We start from the raw sequence: 27,914 nt of genomic DNA on the forward strand, positions 1-27,914 counted from the left end.
ACCTGGGCTGGAATGCAGTGACACAATCATAGCTTACTATAGCTTCAAATTCCTAGCCTCAAGCAGTCCTCCCACCTCAGCCTCTTGAGTAGCTGAGACAACAGGCACACACTACTGTGCCTGGCTCATTTTTTTTTCTGTTTTTTTTGTAGATATGGTGTCTCACTTTGTTGCCCAGGCTGGTCACAAACTGCTGGCTTCATGTAGTCCTCCCATTTTGGCCTCCAAAAATGCTGGGATTACAGGAAAGAACCACCACACGAAGCCCCAACTTTCTGTATCCATTTAGCTTTATCCATCAATTTGTCTTCAATTTAAAGACAATTTGAAAACCTCTACAGTAGACAAAATGACTTTCGCTTTGTAAGGAAAACACATTTCTCATACCTTTCTATAGCAATTTTTTTTCTAAAAACACATCTCAATTTTATTATACACTTTGGATGCATCTAGTAGATTTAATTATATATGTTAATTGTAATGTTACCCCTCAGTAACTCTTATTTTTAGTGAAAAAATCTAGGAAGTAAGAAATTTTCCTTATGTATCAGGTACAGAGCCAGGGACAAAAGACACAGCTGCCAATAACGTCTGACCCTTCCCAGTGTAGTCAGAGGGCACAGCTAGGTTAGGGAGAACACTGTATGTCCCCTGACTTACTATGGCTATAAGAAAGACAAGTCAAACAATTATTTAAAATATCACAGCAGTTTATGGCCCTAAAACATCCAGCAAAAACAGTATCTGACTTGCCCGACCATTTCAGACCAAATATCTAAATTAAATTCTGAAAACATTTCTATTTTATTTTACCAATTATTTTGTTTTAGGTTTGAGGTACATTTGCAGGTTTGTAATACAGGTAAATTGTGTGTCAAGAGGTTTGGTGTACAATTTTGGAACACACACTAACACATGTATGTGCATTGAACCCAAAGAAAGTTAAATATTTGACCATGGACTTTAATCAAGGGTATGTCTTCTGAATTTAAAGCAATGCTAATAGATTTTAATGTACAGAGCCAGAATTCTCAAGGACAGTCATGATGCTATTGTAAGTCATTTGTAAAATTTTATTTTCTAATCAATTATTAAGAATATGAGGTCTCTAAAATCTTTTTTATGTATCTCCAATCAAAACTTTGTAGAGGAGACAAACAGTGATTTTTACCAAAACAGTAACAAAAAGTGATTGCACAATTTACATAAGTTGAGATCTTTGAACCTAAGAATTTGTAACTGGCTAAGAAGAAAGCTAGACTCAAAGCCACCAAATCCAATTTAAAAACCCCCAGCCAGCTCCTTACTTGGAGATGCTGGCCCAAGTGGAAGACTGCGCTCTGCCTCCTCAGAAGCAGCAAACTCCCAGAGAGGGAGTTCTACAAGAGAACATACCTCAGACCTCCAGTAAAAAGTTTGGGAGATCAGGGATCTCTGTAGGGGGAGGCTCCCAGACCTCAGCAAATCATCCAATCAGTCAGAGCAATACAAAGCTTCCAGTTGGCTGTACCAGGGCCCTGCTAGGAGAGTTGCTGCAGGCCAAAGGGCCAAACTCTGCACAGAATTCATTGTGGTTTCCAAAATGTAAACCAAAAAGTGACTGAGGCAGGTCTCAATAAATTTAGAGCTAGATCTTGCCAACGTTGAGGATGTTCATGGGAAAAAGAAACAAAAGTTACAGCAGGATCTGTGATCTGTGCTTTTTCCAAAGAGAGTTTTGATGGCTTAAGCATTTAAAGGAGGAAAAGTGAGCAGTACAGGGAGGAGCGAAAAAGAAGCAAAAAGGGCTAGGCACTGAGGCAAGCGTTTGCATTCTGGTGAGGCTTTGATTAGCACTGACTGAAACCACATTTGATATGTGCAAATAGAGGAGTGGGGGATAAAGTTGATTATGCATTCATCTCATGTTTACTGGATCTACATTTTGCATAAGATAAAGTGACCATGTATAATTACAGCTATCTATTTGGGAAAAAAGGGAAGTCAGTTTTTGTGTGACCCGATTCCCAAGCCTAACTTTCCCATTGGGCATAGTGATTTAGTGTCCTGAGATTTTATTTTCCTTTCAAACCTGCTATTAGTCTACACATTTTGTGTATGAGTGCATTAAGTTGTCACAGCATCTCAAGAGGTACACACTACTGTGACCTTCTGAAAGTTCTAACTCTGAATCTGAGCTAAAGCCCTACAGGAAAAGACTTAGAACAACCTTGAGCTTGACCCAGTGTCCCTACTCATATCAACTATGTTAGAATAGCATTTCTCTCTTAGAGTAAACACTTTCTAGGTGCTTTTTAAGAATTCCTCACGTACACTATTATAATGAAATTCTTTTCCTATGTTAAATTCTAAATACTCTATTTAATTCTTTTTTCTATGGAGGTCTATAATCTACCTGAAGTTGATTTTGCACATGAGTTTAAAAGTAAATTTTATTTTTCCAGATGGATATTCAGTGTCCTGAAATATTTATTGAAAATTCATTTTTTCCCATTAATTTTTCTTTTGGATTATTTGTTTATACATGCATCTATCAGATTTTCAACTCTTTTTTATTTTTATTGATTCTTCTTCTTTTTTTTTTTTTTTTTTTGAGAAGGAGTTTCACTCTGTTGTCCAGGCTGGAGTGTGATGTTGTGATCTCCGCTCACTGCAACCTCCGCCTCCTGGGTTCAAGCAATTCTTATGCCTCAGCCTCCTGAGTAGCTAGGATTACAGATGCATGCCAGCACACTCAGCTAGTTTTTTGTTTTTTGTTTTGTTTTGTTTTGTTTGTATTTTTAGTAGAGATGGGATTTCCCCATGTTGGTCAGGCTGGTCTCGAACTCCTGACCTCATGATCCATCTGCCTTGGCCTCCCAAAGTGCTGGGATTACAGGCGTAAGCCACCATGCCTGGCCTATTGATTCCTCTATCTGTGCTCAAATATTACATCTTCTTATTTTTTGGAGAGTTCATTTCACACTAGAAATTTCCCTCCAGAGACTGTTCTCTTCATCACTGTGCTACTGAAGACAAGGAAGGATAAAACCTTGCATGTCTTGCATTTACATTAATATTCCCAGCTGTACTTCGAAAAAACAGCAGGTCATAGAACCTGTGGAGACAAAATGACCCATCTTGGATGCTAGTCCACCATGTTACTTCTGATTTGCCCCAGTTCCATGAATGCCTTCTGATCTCTCAATTATTTACTGTCCTTAGTGTAAAATCATGTCAACCTGGGTGTTACCACAAAAATTAGAGGCTATGATGCATGTAGCCTCCTTTTCCATTGTGGAGGGTTGCTTTTAATTGCCTTGCCAAAGCAAGTATACCCTTTCCCTGTGGAGTATTAACCCTGGGTCTGGAGAGTAACAGTGTGAACAGCTACCTACCTGCAGCCATCCAAGGTTATGCTTCTGTGTGTAAGTTCCATCAATAAATTAACCAGTACTGACTAAATGGATTTTCAGCCTTCTTTAATTTTCCGATCCTTTGGCATTTGAGAGTTGTTTTGTGTATACGGCCCTTTAACAGAGCAAATGGCCAGCCAGGAAACCAAAGTATGGACAAGGGGAAAGAAGCATCTGTGGAGGAAGTTTTACAAGCGGCCCTCCTCATCCACGTGGGTGGCGTTGCCCATATGCTCCACGTCTTTTGGCCACTATGTGTGTTTGAGAGCACCTCAAAAGTGACAGAGGGTGTAGAAAGCTTGTTAGTAAAATGCTACTAAAAAGTATGACTCACAGTGGTGAGAAAGGTTGCCAAGCAGTGCCAGCAGTGAGTTTGCTACTGTTATTTTCTATGCGAGTGGTCACAAAAGCACAGGTAGCAGCTGAGGCAAGTGTAGGGAAGCTAGGAAAAGAATCGCAGTGAGAAAGGGATGAGAACTTCCATGTCTGTGCTAATGTCTGGTTTTTTGGATAAACTTGAAACTCAAGAGGCACAGTTGGAAATCGTACCTTGCCACTTTGTGTGGCTGAGAGAGAGAAAGCTGTGCCAGCTGAATGTGTGGACTGTCCTTGCCAAGCCAGGCTGGGATGCAAATACCTGCAATTCTTGGGAACCAACCAGTGAGCCAGATGATGACATAGAGTTTAACTCAGAGGAGGAAGATCATTATCCTCCCCATTTGAGGTTGAAACTGTTCATGCAGTGGAAAGCAAAATTCCAATACACACAGGCATGGTTAGGATTACTGGATATAGCAAAAACTTTTAAACAGCTGCCAAGAGAAAGCCTTATGTACATGAGTGGTGCAGCTATGGGACACCAGTGGGGATGGTATCTCCCTAGAAGGGAATGAACCTGAAAAATCGAGATAGAAGTACCCCCGGAAGTGAAATAATCCCCTTATGGGATAAGTTATAGGGAAAGCCATTTCAGATTTCCTAGAAACTCAAAAGGGAAGAGATTAGGTCTGACTGGTTGCTAAAGGAAAATGGAAAAAGGGAGAAACAAAGTTTGCTGGATTGAAAAAAGGAGTTAAAAAAGGCGCAATTAGTGTTACTAGGAAACAAATGTGGTATGATCTGATTTCAGCTGGGATTGACAAAGAGAATATAGATGGGCAACCCAGTGGCATATTAGTGGGGTTTGGAAAGACCTGACTCCTGATCAGTAGTTTAGACCCCTTCTTAGTAACCCCCCTCCACCAGAAGAGGGAGAAAGACAAGAAGAAACCCTTGGTAAAAGGATCCCAATCTCTGCAATTCAGGGGTGGACTTCTTTCCAGCCTGGAGATCATAGGTAGGGTCAAGGCTGCTTCTGTGTAAGAGCAATAGGGGGTGACCAGAGGCCATATTTGGAGCTCACTGTTGATTGGAGAACCTTAGCTTTAGTGGGCACAGGTGCAGAATGTGTCTGAATTGATGGAAATCGAGAGACACGCTGGTAAGTGGGAAGCTATAGATGGTTGTGAGGGTTTAAAAATCTGAGTGAAACAAACTCCTCTCCTCCTTAGTTTTGTCTGGAGTTCCCACCTTGCTTACTCTCCTGTCTTTAACTTATCTATTTCAGAAAACATCTTGATGGATGTCTTCTTAGGATGCACTTTACAAACATCTGTGGGGGAATTTCACCCATGACAAAGGCTATATTAAGAGGGGAAGCAAAATGGGAAGGTGTACACCTCCCTCCCCCACAATGTATTGTTAATGTGAGAAAATATAATCTTCCTGGTAGAATACAAGAAGTCACAGCCACCATGGAGAAACTGGCGAAAGTTAATATTATCCAGCCAGCCCAGAGTCCTTTCAACCATCCTGTATGACAACTAAGAAAATCTGATGGCACTTGGATATGACAGTAGACAACTGGACACTACTAATCTTTCCAAGATACATGCTACTGTGTGTAATATAACTCAAGTGATTGAGGAATTAATACAAAACATAGGCACTTATCATGCTGTGTTAGATTTAGCTAATGCCTTCTTAAGCATCCCTTTTACCCTGACTTGCAGGCATTCTGTGGATGATATTCTGGCTTCTGAAGACTTGTCATTGCTACAGCAACACCGAGATGCATTGGCACTCTTCAATCCAGAGGATGGGCCATCAACGCACAAAAGTGGAAGGCTTGGACTAGCTGCAAAGTTCCTATGGATCACTTGGCCTGGTAAGACACACCTTACTTTAGGCTTGGTCATTGAAAAAATACAACAGTTTTCCATACCTAAAGCAGTTAAACAGTTTCAAAGTTTCCTAGGTCTTTTGGGATATTGGTGGTCTTTCATCTCGTATTTATCTCAGTGTTTGCCTCCCCTATACTGACTATTAAAGAAGCAATCTAAGCTGGGCACGGTAGCTCACACCTGTAATCCCAGCACTTTGGGAGACCATGGCGGGTAGATCACTTGAGGCCAGTAATTTGAGACCAGCGTGGCCAACATGGTGAAACCTCCTCTCTATTAAAAATACAAAAAATTATCCAGGCATGGTGATTCATACCTGTAATCCCAGTTACTTGTGCGGCTGAGGCATGAGAGTTGTTTGAACCTGGGAGGCAGAGGATTTAGTGAGCTGAGATCATGTCACTGCACTCCAACCTGGGTGACAAGAAAGAGAGACCCTGTCTCAAAAAAAAAAAAAAGAAAGAAAGAAAAAGGTATCTAGGATAAAGAACAAGTGGTAGTAATTTGAGAAAGCTAAAATATTGATGGCTCAGGCACAAGCTCTAGTTCCCCCCTTCCGGGATACCAGTGTCTTTAGATGTGACTGTAAACTCTGAAGGGACAAGACGGGTCCTCTGGCACGTTCAGCATGGGAAAGCAGTTCTTCTGAGATTCTGGTCACAGCTATGGAAATGTGCTGAAACCCAGTATTCTCCAATTGAACAACAGGTTCTGGGAGCGTGTAAGGCCATGCAGCACATTGAGCCTGTAACTGATCATCTGCCAGTAACAATGAGAACAGATCTCTCCATTAAGGGCTGGATAGAAGGGTTGTTTTCCAGGCCTATATCAGCTATTTCTCAAGCCTGCATTATACAGAAGTGGTATGCATACCTGCAACAATGTAGTGCCCTTTCCATGAGTCCCTTGAGAGATGCATGCTAATAGGTACAGGACACTATGAGACCAGTGCTGCCCCTGTTGTGGAGCCCCTGCAGGAGATGCCGCCAGTAATATACGAAGGCACATCTCCATTCTTGAAAATGCTTGGCACTTAGATGGGTGGAGCTGAGGTAACCCTTGTGTGTAGATGACAGTAACTGTACAGTTGCAGACAAATACTGTCTGACAGAGAGTGTTGAGGTTTCCAACTATAATAATGAATTAATCTCTTTCTGTTTGCAGTTGTATCAGTTTTGGCCTTACATAGTTTGACATTCTGTTGTTAGGCACTTAAATCCTTTAAGAATTATTATGTTGTACTGGAGAACTGACCCCTTCATCTTTGTGTAATGCCCGTCTTTATTTTTAGTGACTTTCCTTGCTTGAAGACTTCTCTGTCTGTAATTCATGCAGCGACTCTTCCTTTATTTGATAAGTAAGTGTTAGCCTAGGCTATTTTGTTTCGTCTATTTCCTTTACGTGTATACATGTCTTTAGATTTCATAGATTTTACTTAACATCATTTAGTTGGGGGTTGACTTTATTGATCTACACTGACATTCTCAGTTCTTTGATTGATGCTTTAGACTATTGACAACCAATGGAGTTGGATTAATATCAACCATATGTGTTACTGTTTTTGATTTGTTGCCCTTGTTCTTTCTTCCCGTTTTTGTACTTCACTTATTTTCTGTGTTTTGTGGTTTTAATTGAGAATTTTATGCAATTCTGTTTTCTTTCCATTCTTAGCATATCAATTATATAACTTTTTTTTTTTTTTTACTATTTTAGTGGTTGCCTTATGGAGTAAAACTTCTATTTTTCATATTCTTAATTTAGTCTCACAGATAATGGTTTCCAGAAAATAATAATAGCACAGATGTATTTGATTAGGCATGGTTATATCTGCATGTTATGTGTATATAAATATACATGTATATGTGTATGTGTACTCACGTAAAAGTGAAATGAATGACAGCACTAATAGGGAGAACAAAAGAGGTAAGATTATTTTGTTATTCCAAGATATTCATACTATCTGTGAGCGATACAGTGTTTTTTGAAAAGTATCTTGGATTCATTTTAAATGTAATATTGCAAACTCTGGGTAAGGGTTTTGGGCCAAGGGCCTCAGTTCCTTGCTGGCTTTGGCCTGTTTCTGCATTCAGTTTCCTCCCATGTTGGCTTCTCCCTTATGGCAAATGTTCCATCAAAGTCACCAAGGGAGGGACTTTGCTAGCAACACAAGAATCACAATCTAATGTAACATAATCATCCTACTAATGTCCAATCACCATTGTAGTATTCTGTTGATTTTAAGCAACTCACAGTTTCTGACTACATTCTTTAGAAGGAATTAAAATACAAAGTTACTTATCAACTTTACTTATGCTTAGAAGTGGGAGTCATTGAGTGCCATCTTAGGTTCTACCTACCATATCTGATCTTCTCCAATATGAAATAGTTTTTCAGTCTTCACTTATTTTCTATTACCTTGACCCTTTTGACAAGGACTGCTAGTCAGTTCTATTGTAAAATTTCCCACAATATGAATTTGTCTGATGTCTTCTCATAATTAGACTAGGGATATGGATTAAATTCAATGTTTTCAATATTTATATTTATTTAGGTTTAAAGAGAAGAGACTAAACAATATAGTATTTATATATACAAACATACAGGAAAAATGAATATAAGAAAATTAGAGATTGACAAAGATAATCCATAATAATAGTTACCTTCAGCTGTTAACAAAGATGATGAAATTCAGGAGATACATTCAGGGGGCATCAATGATATTGTTAATGTTCTTTTTGTTTTATAAGCTCAGCAAAGGCTTAAAATAAAATAGATTTTTGAAATTTAAGAATAGTTTTAGATTTACAGAGCAGTTCAAAATATAATACATAGAGTTTCCACAGACTCCATACACCATGTTCCTGAATAACCCCCTTACATTATTGTGGGATATTAGTCACAATGAACCAACCGATATTACACTATTATTAGCTATCCACACGTTATTCAGATTGATTTAGTTGTCATTTAATGTCGAGTTTCTATTCCAGGATCCTATCCAGGGTACCTCATTACATTTACAATTCATGCTCCTTAATCAACTTTGACTGTGACAATTTCTCCAAGTTTCCATGATTGCTATGACATTGGTGTTCCTAATTTGGGATTTCTCTAGTGTTTCTTTCCCGATTAGACTGGATTGTAGGTTTCAGGGAGGAAGACCACAGAGGGAAAGTGCCATTCTCATCACATCCTGTTAACGGTACGGACTGTAACATGCTTTATGCAAATGGAGGCAGGGTGAGATCACAGGACCGCAGGACAGAGGCAAAATTAAAATTGCTAATGAAGTTTCAGGCACGCATTGTCATTGATAACATCTTATCAGGAGACAGAGTTTGAGAGCAGACAACCGGTCTGACCAAAATTTATTAGGCGGGAATTTCCTCCTCCTAATAAGCCTAGGAGCACTGTGGGAGACTGGGGCTTATTTCATCCCTACAGCTTCAACCATAAAAGACGCCCGTCCCTGAAGCGGCCATTTTAGAGGCCTACTCTCAGGGATGCATTCTCTTTCTCAGGGATGTTCCTTGCTGAGAAAAAGAATTCAGTGATATTTCTCCCATTTGCTTTTAAAAGAAGAGAAATATGGCTCTGTTCCACCCAGCTCACTGGCAGTCAGAGTTTAAGGTTATCTCTCTTCTTCCCTGAACATTGCTGTTACCCTGTTCTTTTTTCAAGGTGCTCAGATTTCATATTGTTCAAACACACATGCTCTACCAACACTTTGTGCAGTTAATGCAATCATCACAGGGTCCTGGGGTGACATACATCCTCCTCAGTTTAGGAATATGATGAGATTAAGAGATTAAAGTAAAGACAGGCATAGGAAATCACAAGGGTATTGATTGGGGAAGTGATAAGTGTCCATGAAATCTTCACAATTTATGTTCAGAGATTTCAGAAAAGACAGGTGTAAGAAATTATAAAAGTCTGAATTTGGGGAACTAATAAATATCTATGAAATCTTCACAATCCCTGTTCTTCTGCCATGGCTTCAGCTGGTCCCTCGGTTCAGGGTCCCTGACTTCCCGCAACATCTCTCCTTCTCACATAGTAGATAAACAGACACAGGGTACATGATATGTTTTGGTACAGGCATGTAATACGAAATAAGCACACATCATGGAGAATTGGACATCTATCTCTATAAGCATTTATCCTTTGTGTTACAAACAGTTCAATTATACTTTTTATGTTTTGTAAAAATATACAATTATTATTGACTTTCATAGTTATCCTGTTAATGCTGTCAAACAGTTTGTTTTATTCATTCTTTCTATTTGTTTTGTAACCATTAAACATCCCTACCTTCCCCCAGCCCCCTGCTACCATTCCCAGCCTCTGTTAACCATCCTTCTACTCTCTATGTCCATGAGTTCAACTGTTTTGATTTTTAGAACCCACAAATCAGTGACAACATGTGATATTTGTCTTTCTGTGCCTGGTTTATTTCACTGAAGATAGTCATCTCCAGTTTTATCCCTGTTGTTGCAAATGACTGGGTCTCTTTATTTTTTATGGCTTACTATTACTCCACTGTTTATATGCACCATATGTTCTTTATCCAATCATCTGTTGATGGACACTTAGATTACTTCCAAATCTTAGCTGTTGTAAACAGTGCTGCAACAAGCATAGGAGTGCAGATATCTCATTGACATACTGATTTCCTTTCTTTGGGGTATATATCCAGCAGTAGGCTGCTGGATATATTTGGTAGCTCGATTTTAGTTTTCTGAGGAACCTCCAAACTGTTCTCCATAGTGGTTGTGCTAATTTATGTTCCCACCAACAGTGTACAAGGGTTGCTTTTCTTCACATCCTCACCAGCATTTGTTATTACCTGTCTTTTGGATAAAAGCTATTTTATATGGGGTGAGATGAAATGCAAAAAATTGTAGTTTCGATTTGCATTTCTCTGATGATTAATGATTTTGAGCACCTTTTCATATGCTTGTTTGCCATTTGTATGTCTTTTGAGAAATGTTTATTCCAATATTTTGTCCTTTTTTGGTTGGATTATTTGACTTTTTTCCTATAGGGTTGTTTGAGCTGCCTATATATTCTAGTTATTAATCCATCAGATGGGTAGTTTGCAGATATTTTTTCCCATTCTGTGGATTGTCGCTTCACTTTGTTGATTATATCCTATGCTGTGCAGGAGCTTTTAACTTGATATGATCTCATTTGCCCATTTTTGCATTGGTTGCGTATGCTTGTGGGATATTGCTCAAGAAATTTTCTCCTAGACCAACATACTGGAGAGTTTCCTTAATGTTTTCTTGTAGTACTTTCATAGTTGGAGGTCTTCAATTTAAATCTTTAATCCATTTTGATTTGATTTTTTGCATACAGTGAGAGACAGAGTTCTAGTTTCATTCTTCTGCATATGGATAACCAGTTTTCCCAGCACCATTTATTTAAGAGACTGGCTTTTTCCCCAGTGTACCTTCTTGGCAACTTTGTCGAAAATGAGATAACTATAGGGTTGTGGATTTGTTCCTTGGTTTTCTATTCTGTTCCATAGGTCTATATGGGTATTTTTATTCCAATACCTTGCTGTTTCATTTACTATAGCTCTCTAGTATAATTGGAAGTCAGGTAATGTAATTCCTCTAGTTTTGTTCTTTCTGCTTAAGATAGCTATGGCTACTCTGGGTCTTTTGTTGTTCCATATCCTTAACACAATTTTGATTACTATTGCTTTTGTAGTATGTTTTGAAATCAGAAAGTAGCATTTTACTACACAAACTTTGTTCTTTTTCAAAATTATTTTGTCTGTTCTGGAATTCTATTGCATTATATATGAATTTTAGAGTAAAATTGTCAATTAGGGGAGAAAATGTCACCTAGGATTTAGCTAGGGATTGCATTAGATATATTTGGGAAGTACCAGCAAGCTAATGATACTAAGCTTTCTAATCAGTGAAAGCTCAATGTATTTAATTTATAATAGTATTAATTTGTTTGATATGTTTTGTAGTCCTCAGTATATGTGTCTTATACTTATTTTATTAAATTAATTCATAGGTATTTAACTTTTATGCCATTTTACATGAAATGGTTTTGAAATTTTGTTTTTAGATTGTTAATTGCTAATAAATAAAAATACAGTTGATTTTGTATATTGACCTGTACTAAGCTGTACTACAAGCTTGCTTATCCCTTTTTTCATATTTTGTTATGTTTTATTAGAGTTTTTATGATGTCTATAGGCAGGATCATGTCATATGGAGACATAATTTGACTTTCCTTCCAATCTGACTTTTTTATATTTATTTTCTACACCAATTACCTTGGCCACATCCTCCAATACAGTAGTGAATAAAACTATGAAAGGTAATATCCTTCTCTTGTTTCTAATTTTACAAGAAAGTGTTTGAGCTTCTCAGAACATTTAGGATGTCATGTGAGGTTGTCTGTGCTTTCATTGTGAGGAAATTTTTCTTATTTGCCTAACTTGTTGCATGTTTTTATAAGGAATGAAATTTCAATTTAGCAGGTGCTTATTGCTCATCTTTTAAGATGACCATGTGTATTGTGTCCCTTATCTCTTAATATAGTTTATGGCACTAATTCTTTTCGTATGTTGAACCAAATTTACATTCGTAAGACGTGTACCTTCGTCAAAATTTATAAATTTTTACATGTCTGTTATTTGTTTTGATAGTATTTCCTTTAATTTTTGTGTTTATGTTCATAAGTCATATTGATCATAGTTTTTCTTCAGTAACTTTTTCTAGCTTTGGTATGAGGCTGATAATTCACATTGGAAAGTGATCTATTCTTCACTGGTGTTCTTACTGATTTTTATGTGAAAGGTCTAAATTTATTTAGCACAAATAGAATTGAACACATAAAAAGGAGAAAAAAATGTACATTTTTTCAAGATAATTTTCAGACTTTGCAAACAATTATATTGTATAAGTGAATAAAACCAAATCAGAGTAGTAAAGAGATGTGATTGGGCTACATAGATGGAGATTTACAATACACCAGAAAGGGAGAGAGAAAGGTGGGTGATAAATTACTCTTTTTAATATGATTTTCACTATTTTGCATATTTCTTTCTTTAAATACACTACCTACAAGTATAGAGAAAGATGAAAATATGGGTTGACAAACAGGTGCTCATTAATTAGAAGAAATACAAAATTTAAATTCTGGTATTTCATTAAGGCCAATTTAGTTTGTATGCTCAGGAGACCTAACATGTACACATTTGATGTGACACATTTTGTGAGCCTTTATAAATATCTATAAAAAATAGAATATCAGAGTTTTTAAAAACTTAAAAGTTGAAAAAAACAAGGATTTAAATATTATTATTAAAGTTGTTACCTATTCCCAGATGAGGACTTAGAAAAACAAACAGTTGGCAAACCAGTGCAGCAGGTGACTTCCGTGAAGCCAGAGGCACACCCTGGGAACTGGGCTGTTGCTGGAGCCGACACTGCTGTGCTGCACATGTGGCTGCCACCAGTTTCCTCCCTCTCTGGGAAGTGGAATTTGAATTGCAGGTGCTGATGGCTGATGGACGGAGGGACAAGACCACATTATCTCAAAATCCTTGGCTGGGTTGCTTGCTCCTCATTTCACTGCTAGGTGCCACAGGCTTGGGTTTACTGTTTATTTATTGTAAAATATATGATAAATTGGTATTAATTATTTGAAGATGTAAAATCATTCACTGCTGATGTCTTCTTGACCTAGTCAGGATTTTTTTTTTTTTTTTCAGAGATAGGGTCTCACTCTAGATCCAGGCTGGAGCACAGTGGCATGAATGTAGCTCATTGCAGACTTGAATTCCTGGGATCAAGCAATCCTTTTGCCTCAGCCACTTGAGTAGCTGGGGCCACAGGCACATGCCACCATATCTGGCTAATCTGTTTTCTTCTTTTTTTTTCTTTCTTTTTTTTTTTGGTAGAAACAGGTTCTCCCTATGTTGCCCAAGCTGGTCCTGAACCCCTAGCCTCAAGTAATCCTCCTGCTTCAACCTACCAAAGCATTGGGATTACAAGTTTGACCCACCATGGTCAGTCCAGGGTAGGAAATGGAATCTTAACAACTATCACACGAGCTTTGAGGGGATCCTTCTCCAGATGAGCCTTCAGTTGCGACCTCAGCCTTGGACATCATCTGCATCTGGATTCCTGACCCAGAGCAACTGTAAGTAATGTGTGTGTGATTTTGAGCCACCGCACTATGTGGCAATTTGTTGTGCAGCAACTGATAACTAATACAAAAGATAATACGTTTAGTTTATAATACTACCCTGGATTAGATTCTAGAACAGAAAAATGGCATTACTAGAAAACCTGGTAAACTCTCGAGAAAGTCTGTAGTTCAGTTAATAGTTTTATACCACCATAAATTTATTAGTTTTCATAAATACACTATGGGTATATAAATGAGATGTTAATATTCTAGTAAACTCTTGGGTATGTAAAACTAGCTGTACTATGTTTGGATCTTTATGTATATCAAAATTATTTTAAAATGAAATCTTTGTTTATTTATTTTTAATTAAAAGAGACAGGCATACATATGTTATCCCAGCTTCTGGGGAGGCTGGCTTGGGAGGATTGCTTGAGCCCAGGAGTTCCAGGCTGAAGTGAGCCATGATTGTGTCACTGCACTCCAGCTTGGGAAACAGAGTGAGATCATGACTCCAAAAAAAAAAGTTGGCCTCAGAAGATGAATGGACATACAGAAAAAAATAGCCAAGCAAATTTCCGCATACATTTACCCTTCCATACATACATCCATCTACTTTAGGAAGCCAGCATCAAACTCAAGGAACTCTTGTCCATATTTGACCTCCCCATCACACTCTTTATTACCAAGTAACTCGTTTGAGTGTCAGTAACCTCTCTGTTTTCAGAGGTATTTGCCTATGCCTCACATACCCCAGAAAGGCCCATTTTCAGATATCATTTAGGAACATATCTACAGGATCCCACTGAACGTATTTTGGCAGACAAAGTTTCTGGATGCCAAAGACCAAGATTGAGGAATGTTAGTGACAAGAAATAGAAATTATATTTTCATATTATAATTTTTTTATTAATATAGGCTTAGTTTTCTAAAGATAATTCTGCCTTCAAGCCTGGTTGCAATTCTGTGATAATTTCTTTTCACTCCACGTTCTCCATCAGGAATTTTATGGAACCTTGTATTCTGTTGAATACCAGAATTATATCAGCAATCCCCAAGTCACCAAATGGGCATCATCATGACAGCAGGTGGGTGGAATACAAAAGAAAAAAATATATATATATGTATGTATGTGTGTCTATATATATATGTATGTGTATATATATGTGTGTGTTTGTGTGTATATATATGTACATATGTGTATATATGTACATATGTGTATATATATGTATATATATGTATATATATGTGTGTGTATATGTGTGTGTGTGTGTGTGTGTATATATATATGTATATATATATATGGTGGTTGGTGGTTTTGGCAGTTTCTACTTATCTGGACCTGGACAAAAAAATCTTTTCACACCAGATTTTTGGCAGCTGAGATTCCAAATAGGTTTTGCACAGGCATGGAAAACTTGATAGAGGCTAAACAACAGTCCAGGTGTGGTGGCTCATGCCTGTAATGCCAGCATATTGGGAGGTCAAAGTGGGTGGATTGCTTGAGTCCAGGAGTTCAAGACCAGCCTGGGCAACATGGAGAAACTGTGTCTCTACAAAAAAAAAAATAGAAAAATTAGCTGAGTATAATGGCACACACCGGTGGTCCCAGGTACTCAGGAGGCTGAGGCAGGTGGACGGATTGAGCCCAAGAGGTCAAGGCTGCAGTGAGCCATGATTGTGTGACTGCACTGCAGCCTGAGCAATAAAGTCAGACCCAAGAAAGAAAGAGAGAGAGAAAGAGAGAAATAAAGTGAGAAAGAGACAGAGGAAAGAGGGAAAGAAGGAAAGAGGGAAGGAAGAAAAGGAAGGAAGAAAATACCACATAACCCCAACCCTCCACCAGTGATCTAAGAGATAGACACAAGCTGAGTGGTGATTCTGCATATGTGCTGGCTAAACAGAGAATCCCACAGCAGGAAGGACTCTCCATTCACCCCACACACAACTTCCTGTTCAACACGCTGCTGGACAGCACCAGGGTTCTTTCCAGGGACCATGCCTAAAAACCCACAAAGACATCAGACTTCATTCTCCACACCCGTGGCCATGTATAATGTTGATTTGTTTTTTGGTCTATAAACATGGGGTCTATTGTCTACACCACAGTAATAGTGACAGTGAGAAAATGAGCTCCTGTGACCTAGAAACTTGGAAGAGACATTCAGTTTCATGGATGTTATTTCTCATTCTTAGATGAGGATAACTGTTACTTAGGTGGTGTTAATTGAGCATTTGTAATTCAAGAAAACTAACTTCTTTAAGCTCATACTTTATTACTTGAGACATGACAGCTTTCATTTAAGGTTCCCATTTTAAAACATGGTGAGTGTTTCCATTTATTTCATTTGAACTGGAGATACTATCATACTTTCGTGACTTGTCAAATCCCTTTTTATCTTGATTTCAATGCATGTTTTCTAATCTATCATGATGAAGAGTGTGAAGATTGTGCTTCACTAAACCAGGAAGCAATTTAAAAAAAAGCTAGAATGGCAATCCATAAGTTAGACATAAGTGAATGCATACAAGATGTAACCCACCTTAATGTGGCATATCAGGGAGATGGAGACTGGAGAGATGAGGTTTAAAAGAAAACAGGCACTAAATTCAAAGCTGTGCTAAATGATGTCACAGGCACAGATGACATCGTGTGGTGCTCCAAGTTCCCAAACAACCTCTCTGACAGCACAAAAATTATGATTTCCCATAATATACTAAGCTACCAGGTTTCAGAGTGGCTGTCCTGGACACTGCAATTTTCAAAAACTATCATTGCAAACAAGCCAAATTCCTAGACCCTTTCATGAGGCAAGTACCTAACACTCTTTCTCCATCCACACTTTAGACTGATTGGAAGTTAGAGTTTAATGGATGGGTGGCTCATATAATTGAGAACATGATTTCACGTTCACTTTATTCAGTCTTCCTGAAGCCTTAAATCTCGGTCAGGGAAACATTCATGTAACCATTACAATTCCGCTTCCTCCTCAACAGATTTCTACGACCATCATTTTTTAAATTATTTCTACATACGTAAAATAGGGATTTCATTACTCCACTAAAAGCTCTCCATTTTTCATAGTTAGCATTCCATGGAGGGCAGGTCTTTGCAAACCTACCACCAAAATATGAGGAAGCTGAACAGCTGAAGATAGAGGCTGATATAACCAGTCTCTTAGAAAGAAACATTTAGTAGGGATTTATGAACAGATATTTGAGTCTCACATAGGACTTATATACCATGGGGAAGGAATGTGTAGGAAAACTGAAGTCTACCTGTCAGGGAAAGGCAGAAATGCCATGGGAATCTAAGCACAGGATTTATAGTCATGGTGGTTCTGACCTAAGGGCAGGATTTACAGAAAAATAATGATTTTCACAAGGAACAGTAGACACAATAGAAATCTTATCCCCTAGTTTGCATATAAAGGAAAAAAATATTTATACAGAAAGCTTAGAGGCAGTCCCAGAACAGGGGTTAATCAGAAGTCAACATGGTGAATTAGCTTTCAAGATTGAGTTGTTTTTGCCTCCACTGCTAGGTAGAGGGTAAATGGAGTTGGTCAGCTTATGTGAAAGTATAAGTCTATTTCTTCAATAATATACCACAATACAGAAAATGAGGTACCCTTGTTTCCAAGTAGTCATTGGCAGTCAGAGAGAAAAGTGCCATATTCCATTCCTCCTATGATACACATGTAACTGAGTGCAGGTCCAGCTGTTCTATGCATTCAAAAGCAATGACAAGGAGGACTTTCAGGGTGAAAGGAAAGTGACTTTATTTTTCAAATCCAGCAGTAGGGAAATGGCTGGATTACACCTCTATAAACCAGTTCAAAAGTTTGGGCTGAGGGCAGGGGTTTAAAGAAAGGGAAGCATGATGCATGACGTGGGAGGCATGCAGGTGTTGTGCAGATTCAGGGAGTCTGTGTCTTACTCCAGTGTGTATCTTGAGTTATGGTCCACCTGGAGCCACAGACTGATACCATCTTGATAGTGCCAGGCCATAGGTATCCATCCTGAGGCAATCTTTAAGAGAGAGACAATTCCACAGCTGGGCCTTTGTGTTTGGTTCATTTTAAATTAGCCTCTGGTATTTTTTTGACAGGTATATAGTTAGATAAGTATGCATGGTGTGAGTTTCGCCAGCATACAGTTAGATAAATGTGTATAAGGAATGGATGTGTACAGTGGGAAACTGAATGGGGTGTGGTTCCAAAGTATATTTCAGCGTTCTACTTGAAGACTAAAGCAATGGCTTCTGCAGTTTGCTTCAAGGTTACATCTTGAGACTGGGAGGAAGAAAAAAAAAAGAGCAAGAAGAAACTTATTTTGAAGCTATATTACTCAATTACAATCCTTCACCATAAATGACCATTCCATTTCCAAGGAAAATGGGCAACACAGTCCATCTAACTTCTTCCTGCTGAGAAGGGGCACAGTTAGAGGGTATCATATTGGAATCTGTTTACCTGGAGTTGGAAATATTCATGGGTTCCCAGACTAATGTGAGAATGTGTTGGAGCATTATAGTGTGGGGACCCAAATGTTTCTGGGAAAGTTTTTCCTGCATCTCCATACAGATCTTGAAAAGCAACAAAAACTACTGCAACCAAACAGAACAGGGAGCAGAATACCAATTATACTGTATATGAGAGTCTTCCATGGACCTGGAAGTCGACTAAACCATGACATTGTAGGATCCTGGGAGAGGACATTTATAGCAGAAATATGAGTATTCAGTGCGTGCATAGCCTGGATTATATCGTGAGAATAATCTGGTGTATATACGCACCATTCAGTCTTAATGCACAAGTATCACACTGGGCTGCAGTTAGGATATCTAAGGCCATAGGGTTCTATACAGCCACTTGTCTAATCTGCAGGTTTTTTCAGTGGGAAGGGTAACGTTGGGTTAGGTGTTATTACTGGCAGCAGCTCTATACTTAGGGTCTCTACTTATAATTCTACATCTATGTTTGCTGTCTGCGAGGAAAAGGCAGCTAGTGAGTAGAACCAACAGGGTGCCCATTTTTGATGGTGTTGTCTGGCCTTCACATTTTCCCAGTCGTCAGGGAGAGAGTCCAGATGGGACAGGATGTGTCCTGGTAGGTAAGGGCACCCCCAGGTGTATCTGCCGGTTCAGCTGTAAGGTAAGTAAGACCAGCTATGACTGCCTCACACCCATAGCTAACTCCAGGAGAAAGGATAGGCCCCACCATGTAGCTTGATACTATTTTGCCATCCTAGCCACATATGATTAGTCAGTTGATGGGTTTGGCCACATTGCTAAGAGGTAACCATCCCTTAGCCTGGCTGCTAGTGTGGGGTGTGTTGCTCTTGTGTTTTTGGATGTGTAGAGGTGCCTGACCCATTGCCTGAATTTGCACCATCACCAGCCATCCTATGTTGTCATGTACAGCATAGTCTATAGAGGGGGTGATATTAACCTGCTTATGAGCCAGATGGAAGATTTGTTTCCAGGTTTCCCCAAAAGTGGAGCACTCATGGTGAGTGGTACTGTAATCATAGATGGGAAATGGGTGAGAATTCTTACTCTTGTCCCACGTATAAACATAACTCCAAGTGCTCGAGTTGGTTGCTTGGATGTGCAACGGCAAGTCAGCAGTGGAGAAAGGGGTATTTCCCCCACAGACCCAGCAGTCTTTTGTTTTGGAGGAAAGCCACTGTTTACACCCATTCAGGTAGTTTCAGCAAAGATCAAGTATGTACTTATTACTCTAGAACTAATTGAGAACTTCATGTTAACAAAAGTATATTGCTTATATCTCCTCCTTTTTCTCTTATTAATAGTTTCAGAACTTTCCTTTGCACACATAACCAGGTACGCATCTGAGTGAAGCCCACCTTTCAGTCTTTGAAGGGACTCAGCCCTTTGTACTATATCCCCTTTTTAGGACGGCTACATTCCATCTTGGGATTGTTTCAAGTGCACGAGATGCATCCTTGTGTAATTTTCCAAATGATATCTTGGAAGTGTGGGCTACTGAGATGTGGTTGCACTAGGTTGGCGAGGACATCACTCCCATTGTGTGTTCCTTTATGTAGATGTTTTGAGATCAGATAAACCAAGGCCTTGGGGAATATCATCATCCTGTAAGTGTCAGTTTTCCAGGGGGAGTTGGACTCTCTTTTCTCAAACCCCTGGCTCGGGCACGTTTGGGATCTTATTCAGTGTAATGAGGTTTAAAATCTAGTAATTCCAAATGGAGTATTCATGTCCCAGAACCTGTGCCTCCCAAGCAGCTCATTTTGCAGCTTTGCCAGCTGCCTGGTTACCTCTGGTTATGAATTATCTCTCTGGTGTTGGGGCAGTGCATGATGGAGGCCTGGGCAGGCAAGGCAATTGCCTCTCCTAGGGCCAGAATTTCTTTTGGGTGTTTAATGTCTGTATTTTCTGATTTGAAGCGGCCTCCTCTATGTTTCCAAAACACCCAATGGGTGTGCATTACCAGGAATGCATGTATGGAATGAGAATCCCTTTTCCTGGGACAGTTCTAAAGACTCAAGTAAGAGCAATTAACTCAGCTCTTTGTGCGGAGGTAGCTGCAGGAAGGATATGGACTTCTGTTATCCTTTTGATAGTCATGGTGGCACATCCGGCTCTGTGCACATCTTTCATTAAGCTGCTCCCATCAGTGTAGTTCAAGTCCAGAGCACTCATTGTCTAGTTTGACAGGTTCAGCATGCTTGAATAAGCTGCATCAAGGATTTACAGTCATGCTTTAACCCAGGATTGTGTTCAGTGGCTGAGAGCAGTGTGGCAGGGTTTAGAGCCATGGTGGTTTGTAGGGTGATATTTGGATCACGTAAGAGGATGGCGTGGTATCTGCCCACTCACCCCACAGTGAGCCAGTAGCCTCCCGTTTGTTCTAGCAGAGTCAGCACCTGATGGGGCACAAATACGGTAACTGGCTGTCCCAGAGTAAATTGTTCTGCTTCCTGTAGGACTTCACAGTGTGTGCTCTTGCCCAGAGGAAGTGGGGGGCATCCCTTAACCTGTGGCCTAATTGTTTAGAGAAATGGGCCATGGAATGTGGGACAACTCCCAGCATTTGGATTAGCACAACCCACACCTATGGTTTGTTTCTCTTGGATATAGAATTTGAACAGCTTTTGGGAATTTGGTATCCCAGTGTGGGGGCTGATATCAGCTTTTCTTTGATGGTATAAAATGTTTGTTGACCTTTAGATGTCCAGAAAAGGGCCTCTGAGTCTAGTCCGTGTAGGGACTCATAAAGGGTTTTAGTCATTAGTCCAAACTTAGGAATCCGAATCTGGCAGAAGCTAACCCTTTCTAAGAATCCCCACGATTGCCCCCATTCTCTGGGGCTTTATGGCTGCTATTGCCTGTTTTTTTACCAGAACAGGCTCCCTTGGCCTTGCTTTAACCTAAAGCCAAGTCAGGTTACTTTCTACTTACATATTTGGGGCTTCTTGGGAATACTTTGTATCCATATTGTACCAGGTGATTTAGAACTAAGATGAGGTCAGCTAAGCATTTCCTATAGTTGTGGCTGGTATTAATTATCTATGTGTTGTAGCCAGGCTTCTTAATCTTGTTGTAGGTCTCCTAAGTCTTTTGCCACTATTTCCCCAAAAATTGTTGGTGTGTTTTTTTAACACATTGAGGTCCCACTGTCTGACAGTATTGAAAAGTTGTTTTACTCTCTGGGTCCTGTCATTAAAATAATAATAATAATTGCTGGGTATTTTTTTCAATTGTAATGCAGGAAAAAAATCTTTCAGATCTAGCACTGAAAAGCATTCTTAACATCTATATATAGCAGTCAGTAGATTGTATGGGTTAGGCACCATTGGGTGAATATCCAAAACTATTTTATTAACGGCTCTCAGGTCTTGGGCAAATTGATATTTGTAGAAGTGTAGCTTCCTTACAGGCACGATAGGGCTATTATATGGGGATCTGCAAGAATGAATCAGTCTACTTCTCAAATTTTTGAAAGACAGGCTGTATTCCTTCTAAGGCTTCCTTTATTAATGTATACTGATTTTTTTATTCGCCTCCTCCCCGCCGCCCAGGTCACAGTAGCCCCTTCTATTTTTTCTATATGCACTCACGGTATTTTTTGTTTTTCCTTGGATTCCTTCTGCCTATTCACAATTACGCACTCTCTCATAGACTTCTGAGGGAGAATTCTTCTTTCTTATTAAGGCAAGTGAATAACATCTTAGTTGCAGTGCTTTCTGTAGCAGGACCTGCAGCCGTAGTTGTTTCTCTGGGAGAAATTACTTGAGTATTTAATTTGCATAATAGGTCTTTTCCCAGCAAGGGAATTGGGCATTCTTACATATAGAAATAGCAGTGCCTTAGGTCCAAACTTTCTAGTTTGCATTCTAAACTTTGTAGGAAAGCCTTTTGTTGCATTATTCTTGCAACTCCTATCACAGGTATGATCATTTTGGTGCTTTTTGCTCATAAAGTGTTAAAACTGAATAGTTTGCCCAGTATCAACCAGGAAATCAATTAACTTTTTCCTCACTGTCAGTTGTACCCAGGGTTCCTGTGGGGAAATTTTAATTGTCTCTGAGTGATTAAGGACTCTCCTTGGTCCTTACTCTCTGTGGCATCACTCTCTGTGGTCAGAGCAGTGACCCTGCTCCATGATTTGACTGTGAGCTTTTTCCTAGTCATATTCCTCCTTTTTCTGGCCCCTTGGTCCTTTCTTTTGGGACAGTCATCCTTTCAGTGGCCTTTCTCCTTACACTAGGCACACTGGCTGTGTTCCAGAGGCTTGCCTCGATTTTTCTGATGCAGAGGCTTCCTTGTTCATCCCACGTTTATGGTTGAAACTTCTGTTTCTTTGTCTCTGGAGCGGGGAAGGGGTCATTCCTAGTGAGGCTTCCTGTTTTGGTACCCCTTTCCTGAGTCCAAACAGGAAGAATGTTTGTGAATATTCCAGATGGGCCATGTGCCCTTATCAATTGGAGCCCCAATTAGGGTTTGCATCCAGAATGCTCCCTTCAGGTTTGGGGCATTTGGATTTGTTTCATGGAGGCGCCAAGACTCTGGATCTTCTTTGGTCTGCAGCCAGAAACATATTTAGGAGAGACTACACATCTGCTCAGGTACACTGGTGGGTAGCACTGATAGACACATAGAGATCAGTCATTTTCTGGGGATCCATTCTATAAAGTGGGGTGGAGTTTTTCCATTTCACAAGTTAGATGTTGAAAATGGCCTGGATGTCCAGTAATGTCTGACAGGTTGCCCACTGGCATCCAAGCCACCCGTGGCCGTCCTTGTAAATGGTAATTCCCTTGTTCCGGCCATGGCACTTCCTTGCTAAATCGTGTTCCCTGTCAAGCACTGGAGGGAGAGGCCGTCTCTGTTCTCTCATTATACTGAGGCGGCAGAGTAGCTCCCTCTTATTGGTCTGATGCCCCACTTGGTAACATCAAGGCAATCTGGGCCAACGCAGAGGCCAGTGCTAAGGGTCCCGTATGGCAGTACCGCAGTGGGAGCTGTTGGGGTGGAGCAGAGGCCAGGTGCATTCTGGCTGTGGTGGTTGGAGCTGCTAAAACAGCTTGGGTGTAGGACATTTAAAAGTCCTAATTCTTCTTCATTGCTTTCTGCCTGAGTTTGGCTCTCTGGCTTGTGAAGAGCCTTTTTTCCATTCTGTCCTTTGGTACAGCTAGCAGCTGGCATCTTCCCTCATGGTATGAATCTTGATTTTTGAAAAGCATGAAGGCTTGAACATACGGTATTTTTTCTAATTTTCCAGACCTCTGACAAAATGAGTCTAACTGCATTAAAGACTAGTATTGGTTGCGTCCATTCAGAGGTCAAAATTTATAACCTAACTTGTCCACAGTCCAAACAGCACTGCAATAATAGACCATTTTTCTGTTAGTCATGCGCTGATAGCTATAGGCTCTACAGTTAGCTAGGGTATGCCCCAGGGGCCTCCCAGGGGGGATAGAGACCTTGTTTCCCCTCCTGACTTGGTTTCTATGTCCATACTGCTCATCCCTGTTGAAACAGTGATGACAACTTTTATTTGTTGTCTCTCTTCTGTTCTGCACTGCTTATATCCTTCAACCAGAGCTCTATGGGTTGGAAAGACTTTTCTAGCTTCTTATAAGCAGTGCAATTAGTACCACTCATGGTCCTAAAAGGAACACTTGTGCAAATCTCACCACACAGCTGGGACAGCCAAAGAGACCAGAGGATAAACTCATTGGGCAGGCTAGTGATTAGCACCAGCTAGCACAGCACTCCCCTACCACCGCCCCGTCCCCCACTGGCCCAGCCCACCAGCACATCAACTTCATCCCAAGTCCATGTTCTGCTGTCCTTAGTACCCTAGTAGAGGGTAACTGAATGGCAACAAATTAAATGGTAAATTAGGCAGACAAAAAGGGCAGAGGCTTTGGAGTCAGGACTGCCTAAATACTTATCCCATATGCTGTTAAGCTTTTTTTCACATAAAAAACATTAAGCACCATAAGCATGGTGGCAAGCCCTTTAGATAACCTATGGAAGAGTTCACATCCTTCCTTTCCCCATAAAAACTGGCACAGTTGTGAGAAGTACTCCAGGGCCCTAAAAAGAGTGACCCTGCTAGGGCAGTGGAGGCTGTTTCCCTCCAGGGCTGGATCCTGGATGGAGTGGGGCTTATGCAGATCACCCTGCAGAGGAAAGAAGGAGGAGGAGAGAGAGACAGAGATGAGGGCCTAAATGTAGATATTGTACACTTTTACAGTTGCAGATTCAGACTGCACAGTCCCAGACAGATCCCCACTAAAGGGCTGGGTAAACGTCCTGAAACCTCCTCTCAATTGCAGATGCCCTCCCGCCAATCAGCTGACTCCAAGTGGAGCAAAGCCCAGGTCTTGACGTAGATACAGATACGAGACACACCCAGATGATGTCACAAGCAGCTATATGTAAACAGAGCAGAGCTCAGGTGACATCACAGAACAGGCAGAGGCCGTTCAGGGGGTATTCTGGTTGCCTTACCCAGCTCTGAAGTCTGTCAGCCTCTTCAGATGTCACTTGCCCTGTGGTAAGGAAGTGTAGTTGGCAGCTGGTGCAGTGGCAAGAAGAGAAAGGAAGTTCCCCAAGACAGAAACATCTCGGCAGGTAAAGAGAAATTCCCTAGAGCCCCAATCATGGGATCAGCTAGTTGGAAGCAGGTGGCATTCCTGGGTAGTTTCTTTCCCTTCCAGTGAGCAGAGCGGTTAAGCCTTGGTGTGCTTGTGTGTCTGATTGCCCCATTCATCGGAAACCAGACCGATGGTTTCAGGAACTCTGAGTGTGTTGTTCCCCTCTATGTGTCCATGTGTTCTCATCATTTAGCTCCCACTTATAAGAGAACATGGAGCATTTGGTTTTCTATTCCTGTGTTAGCTTGCGAAGAAAAATGGACTGCAGCTCCATTCATGTCCCTGCAAAGACATCACCTGGTTCTTCTTTACAGCTGTGTTGTATTCCATGGTGTATATGTGCCACATTTTCTTTATACAGTCTATCGTTGATGGACAATTTAGATTGATTCCATGTTTTTGCTATTGTGAATAGTGCTGCAGTGAATATATGTGTTCATGTGTCTTTATAACAGAATGACTTATATTCCTTTGGATGTATACTTAGAAATGGGATTGTTGGGTCAAATGGAAGTTCTGTCTTTAGGTCTTTTAGGAATCACCACACTGTCTTCCACAATGGTTAACCTAATTTACACTGCCACCAACAGTGTATGTGTTCCTTTTTCTCCACAATCTTGCTAGCCTCTGTTGTTTGTTTGATTATTTGTTATTTGTTATTTTTTGACTTTTTAATATAGCCATTCCGACAGGTGTTAGATGGTATTTCATTTTGGTTTTGATTTGCGTTACTCTAATAATGAGTGATGTTGAGAAGATTCAAATAAATGCAATCAGAAACAACAAGGGTGATATTACCACCGACCCCACAGAAATATAAACAACCATCAGAGAATATTATGAACACCTCCATGGACATAAACTAGAAAATCTAGAAAGAATGAAGAATTCCTGCACAAATACACCCTCCCAAGACTGAACCAGGGAGGAACTGAATCCCTGAACAGACCAAGGATGGCTCTGAAATTGAGGCAGTAATAATTAGTCTCAGTGACAAATTTTTAAAATGCCACTTAGAAAATGTACACATAATTTTGCTGTATTCAGCAAATATATTTGTAACAATCACTTTTAGGAAGGGTGTTAAAATATTTTATTTTTTCTCATTTAGCTTAATATTTTAAAAATATTTTCCTGGTAGCAACTATTTATATCTCCATTTTCATTGATATAGTCAATAATTTACCCACCTTTCTATTAAATAATAGTGGATCAACTGATGTGTATTATTTTATACTGAACTTTGGCACTCTTGACATAATTCATATACGAATAGTCATCCAAATGTCTTGGCCAGTGAAGATGAGATTCGTCTGCCAAGGTTGAACAGGAATATTCTCACCTGAAAGCGGCAAGCAATACAAAAGTAAGAAAATGGTTGATGAAATTCAGGAGTCCCACAAGCAGATGAGAATTTATTTAGGGCCTGAGAAGGTGCAGGGACCCCTCATAGGGGCCTGTGTACCACCCGAAGCATGGAAATAAAGGAAAATCTTGAGTCCCTTCACAGAAATTCCAGGCACCTCTCTACCTCTGAGAAGTACACGAGCCACTTGAGAAGCAAGAAGGTAAAACAGTAGCAAGGAATTGAGAGTCATGGGAATATGGGGTTCCCTATGGAAACTAAAAATCAAAGCTTAGCATATGTCCCTGAGTTGTTGTTCAGAAAGCTGCCCCTCTACTAAATGGATCCACTGGCACATAGACCTCAGATAAAGGGGATCTATGAAATGAACTCTGCCATTCTTTATTCTCAATTTCTTCCTGAGGGGCCTACGGGATGTTATGTCTATGAGCCAGAAGTGCCATTATTTTCTGCTGATCCCAAATTTTCTGACAAATTTTACTTTCTTAAATAAATCACAAATCAGAAAATCTTTGAATCCTCCTATGACCTGTAAGCTTCCACTTCAAGATACTTCATCCTTTCAGGCTAAAGCCAATGTGTAACCTCAATGTATTAATTTATGACTGTGTATCACCCCTGCCTCTGTGTCTTTAAAATCCCTGAGCTGTAAGCTGTCTGGTAGTTTTAGTCTTTATTTTATTTTATTATTTTATTTTATTTTTGGGATGGAGTTTTGCTCTTGTAGCCCAGGCTGGAGTGCAGTGACTCCATCTCAGCTCACTGCAACCTCTGCCTCCCGAGTTCAAGCGATTCTCCTGCCTCAGCCTCCTGAGTAGCCAGGATTACAGGCAGGTGCCACCATGCCCAGCTAATTTTTGTATTTTTATTAGAGATGGGATTTCCCCATGTTGGCCAGGTTCGTCTCGAACTCCTGACCTCAAGTGATCCTCCCCGCTCAGCCTCCTCAGTAGCTGGAACTACAAGTGCGAGCCACCATGCCCGGCTAATTTTTAATTTTTTTTAGTGGAGAGGAGGTCTCTCATTGTTGCCCAGGCTTATCTAGAACTCCTGGCCTGAAGCAATCCACCCTCCTTAGTCTCCCAAAGCGTAGGAATTGCAAGCGTGATCCATTGTGCCTGGCCCAGGGCCTGTGCTTTTAACCACTGAGCTGCTCTATAATGAGGTGAAAGAAGTTCAGACGTGCATGCCTTGCACCTACAGCAATCCTTTCAGCTGTACCTTGAATGAGGCTGTGGATATACAACTTTAGAATGTTGCTATTGACTCTGAAATCTCTATGTCCTTGTGAATCTTAGGAGTCTCCCAACACCACTACCCACTTTATGTATTTAGTATCTTAGACAACAGCCAATGTTGTTGAAAACCTGGAGAGGCAGCCCTGGCTGCCTCCTGCCCTGCTGTAGATGATCCTGTGAACAGGGTCCCCCTCCAGACCATGCCCAACAAAGGCAGGTTCACAGGGGAGCCTCTGAGCTCAGAGCCTCTCTGGGGGCTCTGCATGCACAAGGACAGCAGCTCCCTGCCTTGGTTGTGGGTTGAGGTAGGGAATTCAGGTCTTTTAAAAAAGGCTGAGTTTGTTCAAAAATGATTCTGCTTGCTGAACAATGACACCTT

At 40.2% G+C, this 27,914-nt stretch overlaps 1 long non-coding RNA gene; it reads left to right on the forward strand.

Moving 5' to 3' along the window:
* The window catches only part of LOC105370733 (uncharacterized), a 440,742-nt gene that overhangs the window by 118,615 nt on the left and 294,213 nt on the right, over positions 1 to 27,914 (forward strand).

Source organism: Homo sapiens, chromosome 15, assembly GCF_000001405.40.
Source record: "Homo sapiens chromosome 15, GRCh38.p14 Primary Assembly".
NCBI lineage: Eukaryota > Metazoa > Chordata > Mammalia > Primates > Hominidae > Homo > Homo sapiens.